Consider the following 20,426-nt stretch of genomic DNA (forward strand, 5'->3'; position numbering starts at 1 on the left):
GCCGGAGGCTCAATGATGATGAGCCCCATGTGCGCAGGGAGCCCCTAGCATGGGGCCTGGCACTCAATAAATATGAGTGGAATGAACGGATGAATAGGTGATGCCCGCCCTTGGGGAGCTCATTGGAGCAGAAGAAATGGAAAATAATTATCATTCAGGCCGGGCTCAGTGACTCACGCCTGTCATTCCAGCACTTTGGGAGGTCTGGGTGGGCGGATCGCTTGAGGTCAGGAGTTCAAGACCAGCCTGGCCAACATGGTGAAATCCCATCTCTACTAAAAATGCAAAAATTGGCCGGGCGCAGTGGCTCACATCTGTAATCCTAGCACTTTGGGAGGCCAAGGCTGGTGGATTACGAGGTCAGGAATTCAAGACCAGCCTGGCTAAGATGGTGAAACCCTGTCTCTATTTACAAAAATTAGCCGGGCGTGGTGGTGGGCGCCTGTAATCACAGCTATCCGGGAGGCTGAGGCAGGGAGGCGGAGGTTGCAGTGAGCCGAGATCATGCCACTGCACTCCAGCCTGAGTGACAGAGTGAGACTCCATCTCAAAAAAAAAAATTAGCTGAGCATGGTGGCACACGCCTGTAGTCCCAGCTACTCGGGAGGCCAAGGCAAGAGAATTGCTTGAACCCAGGAGGCAGAGGTTGCAGCAAACTGAGGTCACACCACTGCACTCCAGCCTGGGTGACAGAGCAAGACTCCCTCTCAAAAAAAAACATTTGTCATTCAGTGCCCTGCAAAGCTGTGATGGGGCGAAGCAGCACTTCAGGGGCGCAGAGGAGGCCCCCAGCCCAGCATGGCCTGACAAGCTGGGGATCAGCAGGATCCTGAGGACCAACCCTTCCATGGAAAGAGAGGGGGGCTGTGGAGGGAGGGTGGGAGGGTACTAACCATGTCCTCTGGCTGTTAGGAGGATGGAGAGCACAGCTCATTAAGCATAAGTGAAAGCATTACCCCCAACATGCTGGAAACCCCTCCCCTCCCATCCCCAGACAGGGCAGGACCCACAGCGGCCAGAGAAGCTTCCAGACATTATCAGTTTCCCTGCTCGGTTGGCGGAGGGCAGCAGAGAAGCAGATTCATGCCCTGCTCGCTCTGCAAACCTCAGGTAGGCTCTGCTCCTCAGCGCGGACATCAGAAGAAAGGCTTGCCCTTATACTCTAAGGCAGTGGTCCCCAACTTTTTTGGCACCAGGGACCGGTTTCGTGGAAGATAATTTTTCCACAGACAGGTATGGGGATGGTTTCAGGATGATTCAAGTGCATTCCATTTATTGTGCACTTTATTATTACATTGTTAATATACAATGAAATAATTATACAACTCACCATAATGCAGAATCAGTGGGAGCCCTGAGCTTGTTTTCCTGCAACTAGAGGGTCCCATCTGGGGGTGATGGGAGACAGTGACAGATGGGTAGACTGGTGCCAGTTGGTGGTCCCTGAGGTTGCGAACCCCTGCTCTAAGGAACTGAGTACCGTGTAGGAAGTTGATTTGCAGGTAATTACAAGGCAAGATAAAGGCTGTGGGAGCCGTGGGTTGAGCTATGTCATTCCTTCACACGCCCATCTGTTTACTGAATCATTCTTTCATTTAAAGAACATGCCGGGCACAGTGGCTCACGCCTGTAATCCCACACTTTGGGAGGCTGAGGCGGGCAGATCACTTGAGGTCAGGAGTTCAAGACCAGTCTGGTCAACATAGTGAAAAACCATCTCTACTAAAAAAAAAAAAAAAAAAAATTAGCCGGGCGTGGTGGCGGGCGCCTCTAGTCCCAGCTACCCGCGAGGCTGAGGCGGGAGAATCACTCGAATCCAGGAGGTGGAGGTTGCAGTGAGCTGAGATCGCACCACTGCACTCCAGCCTGGGCAACAGAGTGAGACTCTGTCACAGAAAAAAAAAAAAAGAGCAGCAACTGTAAATCCAGTGGTCAAGGATGGCCTCCCTGGGAAGGTGACATTTCTGCTGAGACCTGAAGGAATCCAAGAAGAGAAGCAGGTGAAGAGCTTCCAGGTGGACAGGGAGAACAGAGAGCCAGGAGGGAATGGGCCAAGCACGCCCACCCAACATGACAAAGTGGCTGCAGGAGCATGGCACGGGTGATGCAAACAGCAGGTGCTCAATAAATGTTTGTTGCCCTGGACATCTGCACAAGGACAGCGTGGGCTTGGGAGGCCCCACCCATGCTTATTGCTTGGTGCTCTGCGTCCTGATGACCTGTCTGCCTGGCCTAATGGGGAACTCACAGCCAAAGGCCACAGATCCCAGGAGCCTGAGTCCTGGTCACCCCCTCCCTCACCCTTTCACGCATTCATTCATTCGCTCACTCATTCATTCTCTCATCAAATAATTACTGAGCATGTACTACATTCTGGCCTTATCCCAGGGGCTGGGGACACAGAGGTGACTAAGACCTGGTCCCAGCACAGTCTCTAAGGGAGACAGAAACCCACGGTAATGCCAGGAGGTACCAGTTCTGGGAGAAGCAGCCAGTCCTGTAGGACCCAGGCAAGGTCTCTGCTGGCCTCAAGGGCTGGCCAGACCTATGGAACGTAGAAAAAGATGTTCCAGGCTGGGCGTGGTGGCTCACGACTGTAACCCCAGCACTTTGGGAGGCCAGGGCTGCTGGATCACGAGGTCAGGCGTTCCAGACCAGCCTGGCCAACATGGCGAAACCCCATCTCTGCTCAAAATACAAAAATTAGCTGGGTGTGCTGGTGCACACCTGTAATCCCAGCTACTCAGGAGGCTGAGGCAGGATAATTGCTTGAACACGAGAGGTTACAGTGAGCCGAGATTGTGCAACTGCAGTCCAGCCTGGGTGACAGAGAAATACTGTCTCAGAAAAAAAAGAAAGAAAAAGAAAAGAAAAAGACGTTCCAGGGGAAGAGGGCGGTGTGCACCAAAAACAGCTGTGTCCCGCCTGTTAGGACAAGAAAGTGGAGTGTGGGAGATTACACAGGGCTGGCTCAGAGGACGTGGAGAGGCCACCCAGGCCGGGGTGGGAAGGGCTTGGAAGGCCAGCCTGAGGGTTTCAACTTGACGCTGTGGGTGGTAGTGACCACGATAAGGTTTCTCTGATCATTTTACTGTGCACAGAACTGGGGCCAGGGAGTCTGAGCCCAGTGCCTGAGCCCCAGGCCTCACCCCGGGGGACTGGCTCTTTCACGTGGCTGGCATCTCGGCGGAAAGGTGAGCTGCACTTTCTCAGTGCCATGTGACAGGCCCACTCCTCCTCTCTATGCCTGGCCAGGGCGCATTCCTGCGGTTGGCAGGAAAGGCAATTTAAAACCCTTGAGGCTCCTGTGAGTCCTTTGTTGCTCCCAGGTGTGGTCCATATTTTGTTCACTCACAGGGCTCCAGGTGCACAGAAAGGTTACCTACCGGTAGAGGTTGGGGAGGACAGAGCCAGACTCCCCACTGAAAGGAGGGAGCCCAGATGTCCCACGACCTGAGTGCCCCACACTCTTCCCCTCTCTGCCCTCTCGAGGAAGCCAGCAAAGAGAAGGAGGTTTGCTTTCTCACTGCAACCTCCGCCTCCCAGGTTCAAGCAATCCTCGTGCCTCAGCCACCCGAGTAGCTGGGATTACAGTCATGCGCCACCATGCCTGGCTAATTTAGGCCAGGTGTGGTGGCTCACGCCTGTTATCCCAGCACTTTGGGAGGCCCAGTTCGGTGGGTCACTTGAGATCAGGAGTTGGAGACCTGCACCTGGCCAAGATGGCGAAACCCCGTCTTTACCAAACAATACAAAAGAAATTAGCCAGGTGTAGTGGCAGGCGCCTACAGTCCCAGCTACTTGGGAGGCTGAGGTGGGAGAATCACTTGAACCTGGGAAGCAGAGGTTGCAGTGAGCCAAGATCGTGACACTGTACTCCAGCCTGGGTGACAGAGCGAGACTCTCTCAAACACAAAAGGTAGGGGAGAAGGTCCTGGGGAAAGGCCCAGAGGTCCAGGACAGGACAGGGAGAGCTGGAAAGATGAGCTAGGAAGATGGGTGGGTGAAGCTCCCTCTGCAGACAAACCTTGACATGGGAAGTGTATGTGAGTGTGTGTATGTGTGTGCATACGCATGCATGCCTTTGCACACTATGGTCTTTGGGCCTGAGCAAAGGGGCCCCTGCCTGGTTCCTGTGCTTCTCAGGGCCATGCTAGCCTGAAACCCATGCTCCTGGCTTCTGGAGCACGCCCTGGGATCCTGGAATTCTCTGCTCTTAGGGCCCCCTGCCTGGCTCTAGGGGTGTTGTGGACCTCAACCCGAGTCCATCCTCCTGAGGACAAATCCCCCAGCAGTGTGCCCATCCCAGGCCCAGGGGCTGCTGTTGGCAGAGGGTGTGTCCCAAGTGTGAGTGTGTGGGCCAGGACATCTAAGGGGGGAGGGTGCAGGAGGCCCCAAATGGTGCAGACTGAGCAGCGGTGGGAAGAGAAAGGCAGCCAGTGGCCCATGGGGCCGGGGAGTGGGGACAAGTGACACCACATCCCCAAGCGTGGAACTCTGAGGACTAGGAATGTGAACTCGGCCTTATGGTTTCTCATGAAATTATTATTATTATTATTATTATTATTATTATTATTATTATTATTTCGAGACAGAGTCTCGCTCTGTTGCCCAGGCTGGAGTGCAGTGGTACGATCTCGGCTCACTGCAACCTCCACCTCCTGGGTTCAAGCGACTCTCCTGCCTCAGCATCCTGAGCAGCTGGGACTACAGGCACCTGCCACCATGGCCGGCTAAATTTTGTTTGTTTTTTTGTTTGTTTTTGTTTTTTGTTTTTTTGTGACGGAGGCTCGCTCTGTCGCCCAGGCTGGAGTGCAATGGCATGATCTCAGCTCACTGCAACCTCTGCCTCCTGAGTTCAAGCCTCCAAAGTAGCGGGGATTACAGGCGTGCGCCACCACGCCCGGCTAATTTTTGTATTTTTAGTAGAGGCAGAGTTTCACCATATTGACCAGGCTGGTCTTGAACTCCTGATCTCGTGATCTGCCCGCCTCAGCTTCCCAAAGTGCTGGGATTACAAGCGTGAGCCACTGCGCCTGGCCTAATTTTTGTATTTTTAGTATAGATGGGGTTTCACCATGTTGGCCAGGTTGGTCTTGAACTCCTGACCTCAAGCGATCTGCCCACCTCAGCCTCCCAAAGTGCTGGGATTACAGAAGTGAGCCACCATGCCCAGCCTTGTCATGAAATTATAGTTGTCTGTTTAACAATTTGTTACAGGCTGGGCACGGTGGCCGATGCCTGTAATCCCCGCAGTTTGTGAGGTGGAGGTGGGAAAATCTCTTGAGACCAGGAGTTTGAGAACAGCCTGCACGACATTGTGAGACCCCCAACTCTACAAAAAAAAAAAAAATTATGTGAGATGGAGGTCTCCCTTTGTCACCCAGGCTGGAATGACAGTGGCACAAACATGGCTCCCCACAGCCCAGAATTCCCAGGCTCAAGCGATCCTCTCACCTCACCTGAGCCCCCCAAGTTGCTGAAACTTCAGGTGCACACCACCACACCTGGCTAATTTTTGTAGAGGTTGGGTCTTTCTATATGACCCAGGCTGGTCTTGAACTCCTGGGCTCAAGCAATCCTCCCGCCTAGGCCTCCCAAAGTGTTGGCGTTACAGGCATGAGCCACCGCGCCCAGCCAAAAAAAAATTTTTTTTTTTTTTTTTTTTTGAGTAGTCTTGCTCTGTCGCCCAGGCTGGAGTGCAGTGACATGGTATCAACTTACTCAACCTCCACCTCTGGGTTCAAGTGATTCTCCTGCCTCAGCCTCCTAACTAGCTGGAATTACAGGTGCACACCACCACGCCCGGCTAATTTTTTTTTTTTTTTTTGCGTTTTTAGTAGAGATGGGGTTTCACAATGTTTGCCATGCTGATCTCAAACTCCTGACCTCAGGTGATCCACCCACCTTGGCCTCCCAAAGTTCTGGGATTACAGGTGTGAGCCACTGTGCCTGGCCAAAATTTATTTTTATTTTTTTATTATTATTTTTTTGAGACAGAGTCTTACTCTGTCACCCAGGCTGGGGTGCAGTGGCGCAATCTCAGTTCACTACAACCTCCACCTCCCGGGTTCAAGCGATTCTCCTGCCTCAGCCTCCTGAGTAGCTGGGGGTACAGGTGTGTGCCACCACACTCAGGTACTTTTTGTGTTTTTTTAGTAGAGACGGGGTTTCACCATGTTGGCCAGGCTGGTCTTGAACTCCTGACCTCGTGATCCCACTCATCTCGGCCTTCCAAAGTGCTGAGATTACAAGCGTAAGCCACTTCACCCAGCCCCCAAAATTTTTTAATTAGCCAGGTGTGGTGGCGTACCTGTAGTTCCAGCTACTAGGGAGGCTGAGGCAGGAGGATCACTTGAGCCCAGGAGGTTGAGGCTGCAGTGAGCTATGATCGCACCACTGTGCTCCAGCCTGGGCAAGAAGATGAGACTCTGGCTCATTAAAAAAAATCAAGATGGAGGTGCTATTCCCAGGGCCAATGCTTGGGATGACTTGGGGGGCCTTGCAGGCTTTCTGGCTGCAGAATGAGAAAGAGTGAGGTTGGTGAGAAGCCGCGCTGTGCACTGGGAACAGAAGCCAGTGCCAGGAGGACCATCGGGATGTACGGAGGCTTTGAGGACAGTAGATCAGATGTTGCACAGGGCAGTGCTGAGACCAGGCCCTTTATGTCCCATGGCAGGGACAAGCATGGAGACCTCCCCCAACCAGCTGTGGCATGGATGAAATGACAGGTTAGTGTCTGCTCCACTCTGTCCCCGCTAACCCAGGGCATCTCCAATACCCCACAGAGCACCTGTCCTGCTCAGTAAGCTGGCGGGTATCTGTGTGCCTTCCTTGCTGTCCTCCAAGTTCTGTGGGGCTCTTTCTTTGCAGCCCGCAGCCCCGTGCTCTGTGAATGAACATGAGTTTGAAGCCAGGAAGCAGGGAATGGTCAGTTTCCTCCAGCACCAGCTAAGGAGGCTGCCTGCATGGCTCCCTCCCCTCACCCCTGCATTTCACACATTTTCAAAGGATGGGACCAGGCCCTGGATTTCTGCCCTCAAGGACTCCTAGGCCTTGACGTGAGTCCCAGGGAAGGAGAGAAAGCTGAGTCCTGTGTTTTTGTTCACTAAATCTAGAATGTAGGACACGCGGGTGCTATCTGACCCAGGCTGGTCAAAATCACTGCAAATGCCAGGGCCACCTTTCATCCTGAACCTGCCTGGCAGTGAAGGTCATCCTCAGAAGGTCACAGCCTACAGCTGCCTCCCCTCCACCCCCCCAGGAGAGGTCCACATAGGGGCTTCCGCTGGCAGCTGTCTTGGAGGCCAGAGCGGCTCCGTCAGCAGGGCCTCTGTCAGCAGTTCCAACCTTTGCTCCCCAGACATCCAGTTGTGTTGAAGGCCCACTGTGTGGGGTCCACCCACAGCCTGGTTGCAATGTTGTGATTCAGGCCCCATCAGGGACAAAATGCATAGTCTTAAGCAAGTCACTCTGCCTCTCTGAGCCTCAGTTTCCCCATCTGTAGTTGGTTGTAACAGTGAAAAGCTTGCTTATGTGAAAATGCCCAATTAGTGTGCCTGTGGTCCCAGCTACTCAGGGGGGTGAGATGGGAGGATTGCCTGAGCCCAGGAGGTAGAGACTGAAGTGAACCCAGATTGTGCCCCTGCACTCCAGCCTTGGCGACAGAGCAAGACCCTGTCTCAAAAAAAATAATAGGCCAGGAGCAGTGGCTCATGCCTGTAATCCCAGCACTTTGGGAGGCCGAGGGGAGTGGATCACTTGAGGTCAGGAGTTCGAGACCAGCCTGGCCAACATGGCAAAACCTCATCTCTACTAAAAATAGAAACATTAGCCAGGCATCGTGGTGCATGCCTGTAATCCCAGCTACTTGGGAGGCTGAGCCACAAGAGTGGCTTGAACGTGGGAGGCAGAGGTTGCAGTGAGCCAAGATTGTGCTCCTGAACTCCAGCCTGGGTGACAGAGTGAGATTCTGCTAAAAAAAATAATAATAATAAATAACAAAAATAGTAGGCCAGGCATGGTGGCTCATGCCTATAATCCCAGCAGTTTGGGAGGCCGAGGCCTGAGGTCAGGATTTCAAGACCAGCCTGACCAATATGGTGAAACCTTGTCTCTACTAAAAATACAAAAATTAGCCGGGTGTGGTGGTGTGTGCCTATAGTCCCAGCTGCTGGGGAGGCTGAGACAGGAGAATTGCTTGAACCTGGGAGGCAGGGGTTGCAGTGAGCCAAGATCTTGCCACTGTACTCCAGCCTGGGTGACAGAGTGAGACTCTGTCTCAAAAATGAATGGATAAATAAATATAAAATAAAATGGCCTGTAAGCGGTAAAGAGTGATGGGCTGAATGGCTGGTGAGCTTACTCCCAGTGCTGCTATAAATAAACCTCCCTTATCCTAGAAAGGACAGTGAGGAGAATAAGATCTTGATGGTTCAAGTAACTGTATTACTTATCTATTGCTGCATAATAAATTATTCCTAGACCCAGCAGTTAAAATGACTATGTATATATATAATGTAGTTATAAATTTATAGTTATATGTAATTATATATAGTGATAGCTAGCTAGCTAGATAGATGGATAGATAGATTCTTTTTTGAGACAGGGTCTCACTCTGTAGCCCAGGCCAAAGTGCAGAGGTGTCATCATAGCTCACTGTAGCCTCTGACTCCCATGCTCAAGCAATCCTCCCACCTTTATCTCCCAAGTAGCTGGGATCACAGGTGTGCACCACCATCCCAGCTAATTTTTTATTTTTTGAAGAGATAGGGCCTCACTATGTTGCCCAGGCCGGTCTCGAACTCCTGGGCTCAAGCGATCTTCCCGCCTCAACCTCCCAAAGTGCCGGGGTTACAGGTCTGAGCCACCACACCAGGCCTATTCTTATTATTTGTATTTTAGGGATGAAAAAACCGAGGCTCCAAGGAGCCTCACTTGTTTGAGGCTTCAGGGTAAGTGGCAATTGTCAGGTCTGGCTGGCTGCAGAGGTCCCTGTTCCTCATGTAGGGGCCCAAGTCTTAAAGAGAGGACTAAAGGGAGCTGGAGAGGCCATTGGTACCTAATGAGCCTCACTCCCGGGGCCCTGCCCAGCCCCATGGCTTCTCTTTGTTTTCGTGAGGAGGGAAGGGCCTTGGACAGGGCAGAGGCTGTTCCGGAGCCAGACGTGGCCTCAGCTGCTGCTTTCCGTGCCTAGCAGGGGTACTGAGGGTGGAACATTTCTCAGGTGCAGATATCATGACCTACACCCCTAATCCCTCACACCACGCCTCTCTTGCTCATAAAGAGGCTCAAGCCCAGGGAAGCCAAGACCGCCCTCAGCACAGGACCTGCCCTGGCTGGTCAGCCCTGCCTGGGGCACCCACAGCCCCAGCTGTCCAGGTGGGTGCCTCCTTAGCATGGGGACAGAGCAGGATGGGGGTATGGGGGCCAAAGTGGAGCCCTAGGAAGTGGCGGTCCTGCTGCCCCACCCTCCTTGTCCCTCCAAATGGCTCCAGGGAAGGAGGGCAGAGAGCAGGCTGGCTGTATACCTACAGGTCAGCTGGAGCCGAGCCCTGAGGTGCAGCTGGGGGAAGATGGCACCAGCTCCGAGCCTTGGTGATAGGGCCCGGCATGGACCAGGCATGGCCATGCCCTCCTTCCTGTCCCAGCCTGGAAGTGGGGAAGGGGCTGGAGCTGGTGCAGGTCCTGCCTCCACAGCTGTGCTGAGGCCTGGATGGTGTCACAGGGACAGGCCCTGAATAGGGATCTGAACCAAGGGCCCCAGTCCCAGCCTTGCTGTTGTTTTCCTGTTGACTTTGAGCAAGCGCTTCAACCTCTCTGGACTGAGTGTTCACATCTGTAAAATGAGGATGCTGGTGTGATGATCTGGAAGGTTCCTCCATGCTGACCACCTCTGCTTTAAGTCTGTGGGGGAATGGACATTGGCGCCCCTTTCTCGTCCACCTTGCATCCTACCTGCTCCCACCCTCATCCCACCCTGCAGCCATTTCTGATTTCTAGCCCTGAGCCCCTGGGCCAAGGGCTGGTGACTTTGGGGATTTTCCAGGGCCTTGTGGAGCACAGAGAGGCAGCCAGGTGTCTATTATCAGCTGAAGGAAGTGCAATGGAGGGGACAAGGCCACAGAGCTGGAGGAGCACACAGCTGGCCCATTGAGGCCTGTCCTTCCTACATGATTCCAGTGAGGGGTCTCGGAATATTCACCTAGCTGCAGGGACTGGCACTGAGTCCCTGGGGAACCACCTGTAATTATTTCTCCAGTTCCATGCTTCCAGGACCGCCTGCAGGGTGGAAATGCTTGTAAAAAAATTTTGGGTGGCTCACACCTGTAATCCCAGCACTTTGGGAGGCTGAGGCAGGAGGATCGCTTGAGCCCAGGAGGTTGAGGCTGCAGTGAGCTATCTATGATCGCGCCACTGCACTCCAGCCTGGATGACGGAGACCCTGTCTCTAAAAAAATTAAAAATAGGCTGGGCGCGGTGGCTCACACCTGTAATCCTAACACTTTGGGAGGCTGAGGTGAGAGGATCACCTGAGGTCAGGAGTTCGAGACCAGCCTGGCCGACATGGTGAAATGCTGTCTCTACTAAAAATACAAAACTTAGCCGGGCATGGTGGCACGCGGCCTGTAACCCCAGGTACTACAGAGGCTGAGGCAGGAGAATGGCTTGAATCCAGGAGGCGGAGGTTGCAGTGAGCTGAGACTGCACCACTGCACTCTGGCCTGGGTGACAGAGCGAGACTCTGTCTCAAATAAAATAAAACAGAAAATATAAATAAAAATAAAAACAAAAAATTTAAATAAAAAGGGAGAAGGAAGAAGACAATCACCAAAAAACGGAGACATCCTCTTCAAACCGAGGGTTCGGACAGCCACATGCCCTCTGGAAGCCCAAGGCAAAGATGGGTAGTTTCTGGGGCTCCTTCCTTCTCATGCAAAACACTAATCCCTCTGAAAAAACATGTTCTGGGGAATGAGGCCAGGATGGTTGTTTTTTTCTTTTCTGAGCTACGGCATCATCTTTTTCTCTTGCCACACTTGACAGAACCAACATTGCCAAAACAATTAAAATAATCCTGTCATTGTCCCCAAGGATCTACATAAGGGCCCTGATCAGATCAGGTTTCTTCTTTTGTGGGACACTAGCTACACACCCCCAACAGCAAAAGCAAAGTGATTCTCTTAGGCCCCAAGAGCTTGAGAGCTGCCTCTGGGATAAAAAGTCTCTTCTGGCTGGGTGCCATCTCGGGATGACATCTCGGGAGGCTGAGGCAAGTGGATCACCTGAGGTCAGGAGTTCGAGGCCAGCCTGGCAAACATGGTGAAACCCTGTCTCTACTAAAAAAAAAAAAAAAGAAAAGAAAAAAAACCCAAAAAATTAGCCAGGCGTGGTGGTGGGCACCTGTAATCCCAGCTACTTGGGAGGCTGAGGCAGGAGAAATGCTTGAACTGTGGGGGCAGAGGTTGCAGTGAGCTGAGATCCTGCCACTGCACTCCAGCCTGGGTGAAAGAGCAAGACTCTATTTCAGAAAAAAAAAAACAAATAGTCTCTCTGAATCCATATTATGTTGTGCTGAACCTATATTAGCTCCAGTGGGGATGGCACCAGGTTCAAGAGGCTGAAGAACAGCCCCAGAGCCAGCAGATGAGACATGGGGTTTTACTGGGGGCTTCCATGTGGCAACAGAGTCCAATGGCAGTGGGCTGCACAGGGGACTGCAACCCTGCAACTGCTTGCAAAAAGCATGCACTGTAGATAGCATTTTAAAATTAATTATTAATTTTTTTATTTTTTGAGACAGAGTCTTGCTCTGTCGCCCAGGCTGGAGTGCAGTGGTGCGATCTTGGCTCATTATAACCTCCGCCTCATGGTTCAAGCGATTCTCCTGCCTCAGCCTCCTTAGTAGTTGGGATTACAGGCACCCACCACCACGCCCGGCTAATCTTTTGTATTTTTGGTAGAGATGAGGTTTCACCATATTGGCCAGGCTGGTCTCGAACTCCTGACCTCAGGTGATCTGCCCACCTTGGCCTCCCAAAGTTCTGGGATTACAGGCGTGAACCACCACATCTAGCTCACTGCATTATCTTTTGATAGAGAGCAAATCCTCTGGCCAGCTGGGCTCACTGATTCTCCCAGCAGGCTTTTTTGGAGATCGTCCACATGCAGTGTTAAGCTGGAATGCCCATCTCTCTCCCCTTGTCTTAGTTACTGTCCATCAACCTACCCTTTCCTCCTATACCCAGACTCCAAAAATTCATCTTTTTTTTTTTTTTAAGAAATAGGGCCTTGCTCTGTCACCCAGGCTGGAGTGCAGTGGTGTTATCATAGCCCACTGCAGCTTCAACCTCCTGGTCTCAAGCAATCCTCCCACCTCAGCCTCCTGAATAGCTGGGACTACAGGCATGTGCCACCAAGCCCAGCTAATTAAAAAAAAAAAAAAAGTTTTGTACACACGGGGTCTCGCTATGTTGCCCAGGCTGGTCTTGAACTCCTGACCTCAAGTGATCCTCCCACCTCTGCCTCCCAAAGTGTTGGGATTGCAGGCATGAGCCACTGTGCCTGGCCTTTAAATTTTTTTTTTTTTTAATTATCTGTAGAGATGGGAATCTGCCTTGTTGCCCAAGCTGGTCTCGAACTCCTGGCCTCAAGCGATCCTCCCTCATCATCCTCCCAAAGTGCTAGGATTACAGGCACAGCCATTGCACCTGGCCTACCTGCTTTGTCTACCTGCAGAGGAGAGGTGGTAGATTCAGGGGAAATGAATAGCATAGATATTCCTCCTTCCTCTCATACTTTAAAAATCCATAGATATCCCTCCTTTCTCTCTTACTTTAAAAATCCTGTGGCCAGGCACTGTGGCTCACTCCTGTAATCCCAGCACTTTGGGAGGCCAAAGTGGGCAGATCACCTGAGGTCAGGAGTTCGAGACCGGTTTGGCCAACATGCAGAAACCCCATCTCTCCTGAAAATATAAAAATTAGCCAGCTATGATGGCACACGCCTGTAACGTAGCTACTCAGGAGGCTGAGGCAGGAGAATCACTTGAACCTGGGAGGCAGAAGTTGCAGCAAGCTGAGATCTCGCCACTACACTCTAGCCTGGGCAACAGAGTGAGACTCCATCTCAAAAATAAATAAAATAATCCTGTAATCTCTGTTACAGGGGATTAGACACGTGTTATAAAATGTGGATTTACCTGAGGATATATTTCAGCTCACTCAAAGGGAAACCTAAACCAGTTGGAGATTTCATAAGCTGATGCGCTGCCTGAATAGGTCCGCAGCTCCTAGTCACGGGGCATGTGCAAAAACAGTCTGGAAGTTATTAGTTGCTGAAGAGGAGATTCCAAACTGTGGAAAGGGGCTGGGCACGGTGGCTCACACCTGTAATCCCAGCACTTTGGGAAGCTGAGGTGGGCGGATCACCTGAGGTCAGGATTTCAAGACCAACCTGGCTAACATGGCAAAACTCCGTCTCTACTAAAAATATAAAAATTAGCCGGGCACAGTGGCATGCGCCTATAATCCCAGCTACTCAGAAGACTGAGGCAGGAGAATTACTTGATCCTGGGAGGCAGAGGTTGCCGTGATCTGAGATTGCGCCACTGCACTCCAGCCTGGGCAACAGAGCAAAACTCTGTCTCAAAAAAAAAAAAAAAAATGTGGGAAGGAGTGGGGAGTTCAGGCATATGTTGTATGAGATGGGACCCTGAGGGCCGGGCGCGGTGGCTCAAGCCTGTAATCCCAGCACTTTGGGAGGCCGAGGCAAGTGGATCACGAGGTCAGGAGATCGAGACCATCCTGGCCAACACGGTGAAACCCCGTCCCTACTAAAAAATACAAAAAATTAGCCAGGCGTGGTGGCGGGCGCCTGTAGTCCCAGCAACTCGGGAGGCTGAGGCAGGAGAATGGCGTGAACCCAGGAGGTGGAGCTTGCAGTGAGCCGAGACAGCGCCACTGCACTCCAGCCTGGGCAACAGAGCAAGACTCCTCAAAAAAAAAAAAAAAAAAAAAAAGAGATGGGACCCTGAGAGTCTGTGGGGGAGGAAGTATGGAAAGAGATTAACCTGGCGTGTCAGTGAGATCTCAAGACTAGGATTTAGGCCAGGCACGGTGGCTTATGCCTGTAATCACAGCACTTTGGGAGGACGAGACAGGAGGATCACTTAAGCCCTAGACTTCGGACTTCGATACCAGCCTCAGCAACAGAGCAAGACCTAGTCTCTACAGAAAATAAAAAACTTAGCCAGGTGTGGTAGTGTGCACCTGTAGTCCCAGCCACTCGTAAGGCTGAGGCAGGAGGATCACTTGAGCCCAGGAGTTCAAGACCAGCCTGGGCAACATAGTGAGATGCTGTCTTTACAAAAAAATTAGCTGACCAAGGTGATGTGAGCCTGTAGTCCCAGCTACTCAGGAGGCTGAAGTGGGAGGATTTGCTTAAGCCCAGGAGATCGAGGCTGCAGTGAGCTATGATTGCACCACTGCACTTCAGCCTGGGTGACAGTGCAAGAGCCTGTCTTGAGGAGGGAAAAAAAAAGAAGGAAAAGAGGCTGGGCGCGGTGGCTTGCGCCTGTAATCCCAGCACTTTGGGAAGCCAAGGCGGGAGGATCACGAAGTCAGGAGATCGGGCCATCCTGGCTAACACGGTGAAACCCTGTCTCTACTAAAAATAAATTAGCTGAGCGTGGTGGCAGGCGCCTGTAGTCCCAGCTACTCAGGAGGCTGAGGCAGGAGAATGGCGTGAACCCAGGAGGCAGAGCTTGCAGTGAGCGGAGATCACGCCACTGCACCGCAGCCTGGGCAACAGAGCGAGACTCCGTCTCAAAAAAAAAAAAAAAAAAGAAGGAAAAGAAAAGAACAGATTTGTGGTTCTCAATCTTCAGCCTGTATCAGCATCACCTGGAGGGCTTGTTCAGCCACAGATGGCAGGGCCCCACCCCCAGAGTTTCTGATTCAATCAATTTGGGAAGTGGCCTGAAATTTGGCATTCCTTTTTCTCTCTCCTTCCCGCCCTCTCTCCTTTCGTTTTTTTTTTTCTTTCTCTGTCGCCCAGGCTGAAGTACAGTGGCGTGATCTCCGCTCGCTACAACCTCCGCTTCCCAGGTTCAAGCGATTCTCCTGCCTCTGCCTCCCAAGTAGCTGGGATTACAGGTGCCTGCCACCACGCCCAACTAATTCTTTTGTATTTTTAGTAGAGATGAGGTTTCACCGTGTTAGCCAGGATGGTCTCAATCTACTGACCTCGTGATCCACCCGCCTTGGCCTCCCAAAGTGCTGGGACTATAGGCATGAGCCACAACCCCTGTTTTTGTTTATTTCTTTCTTTTTTTGAGACAGGGTCTTGCTCTGTCACCCAGGCTGGAGTACAGTGACACAGTCATAGTTCACTGCAGCTTCAACCTTCCAGGCTCAAGCAATCCTTTCATCTCAAGCTCCTGAGTAGCTGGGACCACAGGCGCACGCCATCTTGCCTGGCCAATTTTTTATAGAGATGGGGTCTCGCTGTGTTCTCCAGGCTGGTCTCAAACTCCTGCCTCACAAAGTGCTGGGATTACAGGCTTGAGCCACTGCACCAGGCCTTAATTTGACATTTCTTTTCTTTTTCTTTTTTTTTTTTTTTTGAGACAGAGTCTCGCTCTGTTGCCCAGGCTGGAGTGCAGTGGCATGATCTCAGCTCACTGCAACCTCTGCCTCCTGGGTTCAAGCGATTCTCCTGCCTGAGCCTCCCGAGTTAACTGGGACTACAGGCATGCTCCACGATGCCAGACAATTTTTGTATTTTTAGTAGAGATGTGGGGGGTTTCACCATATTGGCCAGGCTGGTCTCGAACTCCTGACCTCAAGTGATCCACCTGCCTTGGCTTCCCAAAGTGCTGGGATTACGGGCTTGAGCCACCATGCCTGGCCTAATTTGACATTTCTAACAAGTTCCCAGGTGAGGCTGCTGCTCCTGGTTTGAGAATCACTGAACTAAACCAGTACTGGCTGGGATGTGAGTCAGCCTGGAGACTCCCAGCCCCTGGAGGCCAGGGATCAGCTCTCATCAACTTCCATTTCTGCTAAGTGACTGCTCAGAGGCACAGGCAGGTGTCCTCCACAGCACTGTCTGAACAGTTCGTGGAAGCCAGGCAGGCTTCTCTTCATCGGCCCTTGCACAATGGTGCTGGTTGCTTTGGCAACAGCCAGCAGCAGCCAAGCAATTTTGAGCACAGAATCCTGGGGCTTGTGTCATACTGGGGAGACAGGGCAAAGGTTCTGGCCCATTGGCATGTGAACGCGAATGGGGAGGAAGAGGGGGAGAAAGGGCGTGGCTTCCGAGGCCCCCTCTCACCCGAACACCCTCTCATTTCCCCAGAAGCTTGCTCTGGCTCCCGCATGCAAACCCAGAAGAGCTGAAACTTTGATTGCGTAACAGAGGGGAACAAAGGATGGAGTGAAACTGGGGCGGGTATGCGGGCAGTAGGAAGGAGAAAGAAGCCATCCTGGGCTCTGAGAACCGCTGGGTGCACCAGGCCATGTCACACACACAGCAACTCATTTAATCCTCACGCAACTGCCTGGGTCCGTGTGCCCAGGACCCATCCATGGCCACACAGCTAGCCGGAAACCTGATCTGCTGTAGCTAAAGGCCATGTTTGCTTTCTCAGTTCAGGGCCGCCTCTTTGAAATGCCTCTTTGGCCGTGTTAGGAAGACCCAGGGGTTTGGGGCAGCAAGGAGGCAGGAAGAAGGTCTGGGGGAGTTATTTGGACAATGAAGAGAGCCAGGCGGGTCAACCATCCTCTTGGCTTTGCACTTGACAGCAACCGCCTCCCTCCTGTTTCTCATTTTCTTTTATTATTAAATGCTCTAATTTTCTTTTATTATTATTGTTTTTTAAACATAGAGATGGGGTTGGCCGAGCACAGTGGCTCACGCCTGTAATCCTAACACTTTGGGAGGCCGAGGTGGGTGGATCACAAGGTCAGGAGTTCAAGACCAGCCTGGCCAACATCGTGAAACCCCGTCTCTACTAAAAATACAAAAAAATTAGCCAGGCATGGTGGCACGCACCTGTAATCCTAGCTACTTTGGAGGCTGAGGCAGGCAGGAGAATCGCTTGAACCCAGGAGGCAGAGGTTGCAGTGAGCCAAGGTCGCACCACTGTACTCCAGCCTGGGCAACAGAGCGAGACTCGGTCTCAAAGAAAAAAAAAAAAAGATACTTGGCCAAGGCCATGCACTTGGTTCCGTCTAATTGGAATTTGTCCCCTGATCTCCAGAGAGAGATTCTGCGCTTCTACACTTTGGTGATGTTCTCATCCCTGACCCTGTAGGGTTATCTCAACCCAGGAAATCTGCAAACTCACTTGCCTTGCACCCTCATGGACGCCTCTCAAGGGGAATAAACCATCCTGTCCAAAGGTCATGGTGTGATACTGGAGACACATGAGACACGGTGTCAGAGGCCGCTGTGACATTTGGAGTTCTGGGAAAGTGGGAGCACCTCCTCTAAGGATCAACCACACCCCTCTAGCATCTATGGTGGAAGCCAATCCAGCTTCTCTCAGTGCCAAGCTAATCTGGGATCCACTTTTTCTTTTTTTCTTTTCTTTTTTTTTTTTTTTTCAGAGACAGAGTTTGGCTCTGTTGTGTAACACGGTTAAACTTTGGCCATGTTAGGAGGACCTAGGGGTGTGGGGCAGCAAGGAGACCGGAAGAAGGTCTGGGGAAGTTATTTGGACAATGAAGAGAGCCAGGTGGGTCAACAATTCTCTGTGCTTTGCACTTGACAGCAACCGCCACCCCCCCTCCTGTTTCTCTGCTCTCATTTTATCTTTTATTTTTATTTTTTTAAAACATAAAGATGGGGTTGGCCGAGAGCTCTGTTGCCCAGGCTGGAGTGCAGTGGCACAATCACAGTTCACTGTAGCCTCAGCCTCCAGGCTCAAGCGATCCTCCCACCTCAGCCTCCTGAGTAGCTGGGACTACAGGCACGCGCCACCACACCTGGCTAATTTTTTATTTTTTGTAGAGGCGGGGCCTTGCTATGATGCCCAGTTTGGTTTCAAACTTCTGGCTTCAAACAATCCCCGCCTCAGTCTCCCAAAGTGCTAGGATTACACGTGTGAGCCACCATGCCCGGCTCCACTGCTTTTATTTTATTTTATTTATTTTATGTTTGAGATGGAGTCTCACTCTGTTGCCCAGGCTGGAGTGCAGTGGCGCGATCTCAGCTGACTGCAACCTCCGCCTCCTGGGGTGAAGCGATTCTCCTGCCTCAGCCTCCCAAGTAGCTGGGATTATAGGCGCCTGCCACCACGCCTGGCTAATTTTTGTATTTGTTTAGTAGAGACAGGGTTTTGCCATGTTGGCCAAGCTGGTCTCGAACTCCTGACCTCAGGTGATATGCCCACCTCTGCCTCCCAAAGTGCTGGGATTACAGGCATGAACCACCATGCCGAGCCTGGCTAATTTTTTTTTTTTTTGAGACAGAGTCTCGCTCTGTAGCCCAGGCTGGAGTGCAGTGGCAATCTTGGCTCACTGCAAGCTCTGCCTCCCGGGTTCATGCCATTCTCTTGCCTCAGCCTCCCGAGTAGCTGGGACTACAAGTGCCTGACACCAAGCCCGGCTAATTTTTTTGTATTTTTAGTAGAGACAGGGTTTCACTGTGTTAGCCAGGATGGTCTCAATCTCCTGACCTCAAGTGATCCTCCCGCCTCGGCCTCCCAAAGTGCTGGGATTACAGGCATGAGCCACCGTGCCTGGCCCAGCCTGGCTAATTTTTAAAAAAATTTTTTGTAGAGATAGGGTCTTGCTGTGTTGCCCAGGCTGGTCTTGAACTCCTGGCCTCAAGCCATCCTCCCACCTCGGTCTCCCAAAGTGTTGGGAGCCACCTTACCTGGCCAGAAAACATATTTAGAATATAGATGTTATCAAGCTCAATAATGAAAATGTAGAGGTTCAGACGGCTAAAGTTTTAGAGGGACAGAGCAAAGGGAAAGGGAAGCTTCATCGTACAATATTAAGAGATACTGTTCATGGATCAAAAAACAAAGGCCCCAGGCTACTACTTAAATTATAAAAGTGATTAACAGAGGAATTAAATTAGGTGTATAAATAATATTGGAAGGGTGTGGGCAGCAGAGGTGAGCTGTGGTTTAAATGGCCTAACTCACATCAGTGGGACTCCAGAGGTAACATCTAAAATATCAGGCAGAGGGCTGGACATGGTGGCTCATGCCTGTAATCCCAGTGCTATGGGAGGCTGAGGCAGGAGGATTGCTTGAGCCCAGGAGTTTGAGACCAGCCTGGGCATCATAGTGAGAACCTGTCTCTTTATTTATTTATTTATTTATTTATTTGAGATGGATTCTCTCTATATATCCCAGGCTGGAGTGCAGTGGCGTGATCTCGGCTCACTGCAACCTCCGCCTCCTGGGTTCAAGGGATTCTCCTGCCTCAGCCTCCCAAGTAGCTGGGATTACAGGCACCCACCACCACACCCAGCTAATTTTTATATTTTTAGTAGAGACCGAGTTTCACCATGTTGGCCAGGCTGGTCTTGAACTGCTGACCTCAAGTGATCCGCCCGCCTTGGCCTCCCAAAGTGTTGGGATTACAGGCGTCAGCCACCGCACCTGGCCTGTCTCTATATTTAAAAAAGAAAAGAAAAGAAAAGAAAAGAAGAACAAGGAGGAGGAGGAGAAAGAAGAAAGAGAAGAAGAGGAAGAGGAAGGAAGAAGAAGAGGAGGAAGAGGAAGAAGAGGAAGAGGGAGAGGAGGGAGAGGTGGGAGAGGAAAGAGAGGAAGGAGAGGAAGGAAAAGAGGAAGGAGAGGAGAAGAGGAAGGAGGAGAAGAAGGAGAAAAGAAAAGAAGAAGAAAGAAGAAGAAAAGAAGAAGGAAGAGGAGGAAGAGGAAGAGAAGAAGAAGGAGGAGGAAGAAGAAGAAGAGAGAAGAAGAAAGAAGAAGAAGAAAAGAAAGTCACAGGTCAAAATCAGCCAGAAAAACATGTATGTACCAGCATGGCTGTAATGACCAGAAGAAAATGCTAAAAAAGAGAAGAATTTATCCTTTCAGCCAGATGCATTGGCTCATGCCTATAATCCCAGCGCTTTGGGAGGTCGAGGCAGGTGGATCACTTGAGGTCAGGAGTTCGAGACCAGCCTGGCCAAAGTGGTGAAACCCCATCTCTACTAAAAATATAAAAAATTAGCTGGGCGTGGTGGAGCGCACCTGCAGTCCCAGCTACTCTGGAGGCTGAGGCAGGAGAATCGCTTGAACCCAGAAGGAGGAGGTTGCAGTGAGTCAAGATCACACCACTGCACTCAAGCCTAGGCGACAGAACAATACTCCACCTTAAAAAAAAAGAAAATCAAGTCTATAGTCACTATTCTTTAGATTTGGGGAGCAAGTAAAAGTTTGTTCTTTGGCCAGCAGCAAGATT

The 20,426-nt window shown here is 51.4% G+C and overlaps 2 annotated features.

Annotated features, from left to right (window-relative positions):
• Positions 9,062-9,571: an enhancer, noted in NCBI's record as "H3K27ac-H3K4me1 hESC enhancer chr7:75528271-75528780 (GRCh37/hg19 assembly coordinates)". NCBI's record gives its function as "activates a minimal SCP1, AML or CMV promoter by ChIP-STARR-seq in naive H9 embryonic stem cells {active_cell/tissue: H9 hESC(naive)}" and the evidence as "EXISTENCE:reporter gene assay evidence [ECO:0000049][PMID:30033119]".
• Positions 16,448-17,018: an enhancer, noted in NCBI's record as "H3K27ac-H3K4me1 hESC enhancer chr7:75535657-75536227 (GRCh37/hg19 assembly coordinates)". NCBI's record gives its function as "activates a minimal SCP1, AML or CMV promoter by ChIP-STARR-seq in naive H9 embryonic stem cells {active_cell/tissue: H9 hESC(naive)}" and the evidence as "EXISTENCE:reporter gene assay evidence [ECO:0000049][PMID:30033119]".

This window comes from Homo sapiens, chromosome 7 (genome assembly GCF_000001405.40).
Source record: "Homo sapiens chromosome 7, GRCh38.p14 Primary Assembly".
NCBI lineage: Eukaryota > Metazoa > Chordata > Mammalia > Primates > Hominidae > Homo > Homo sapiens.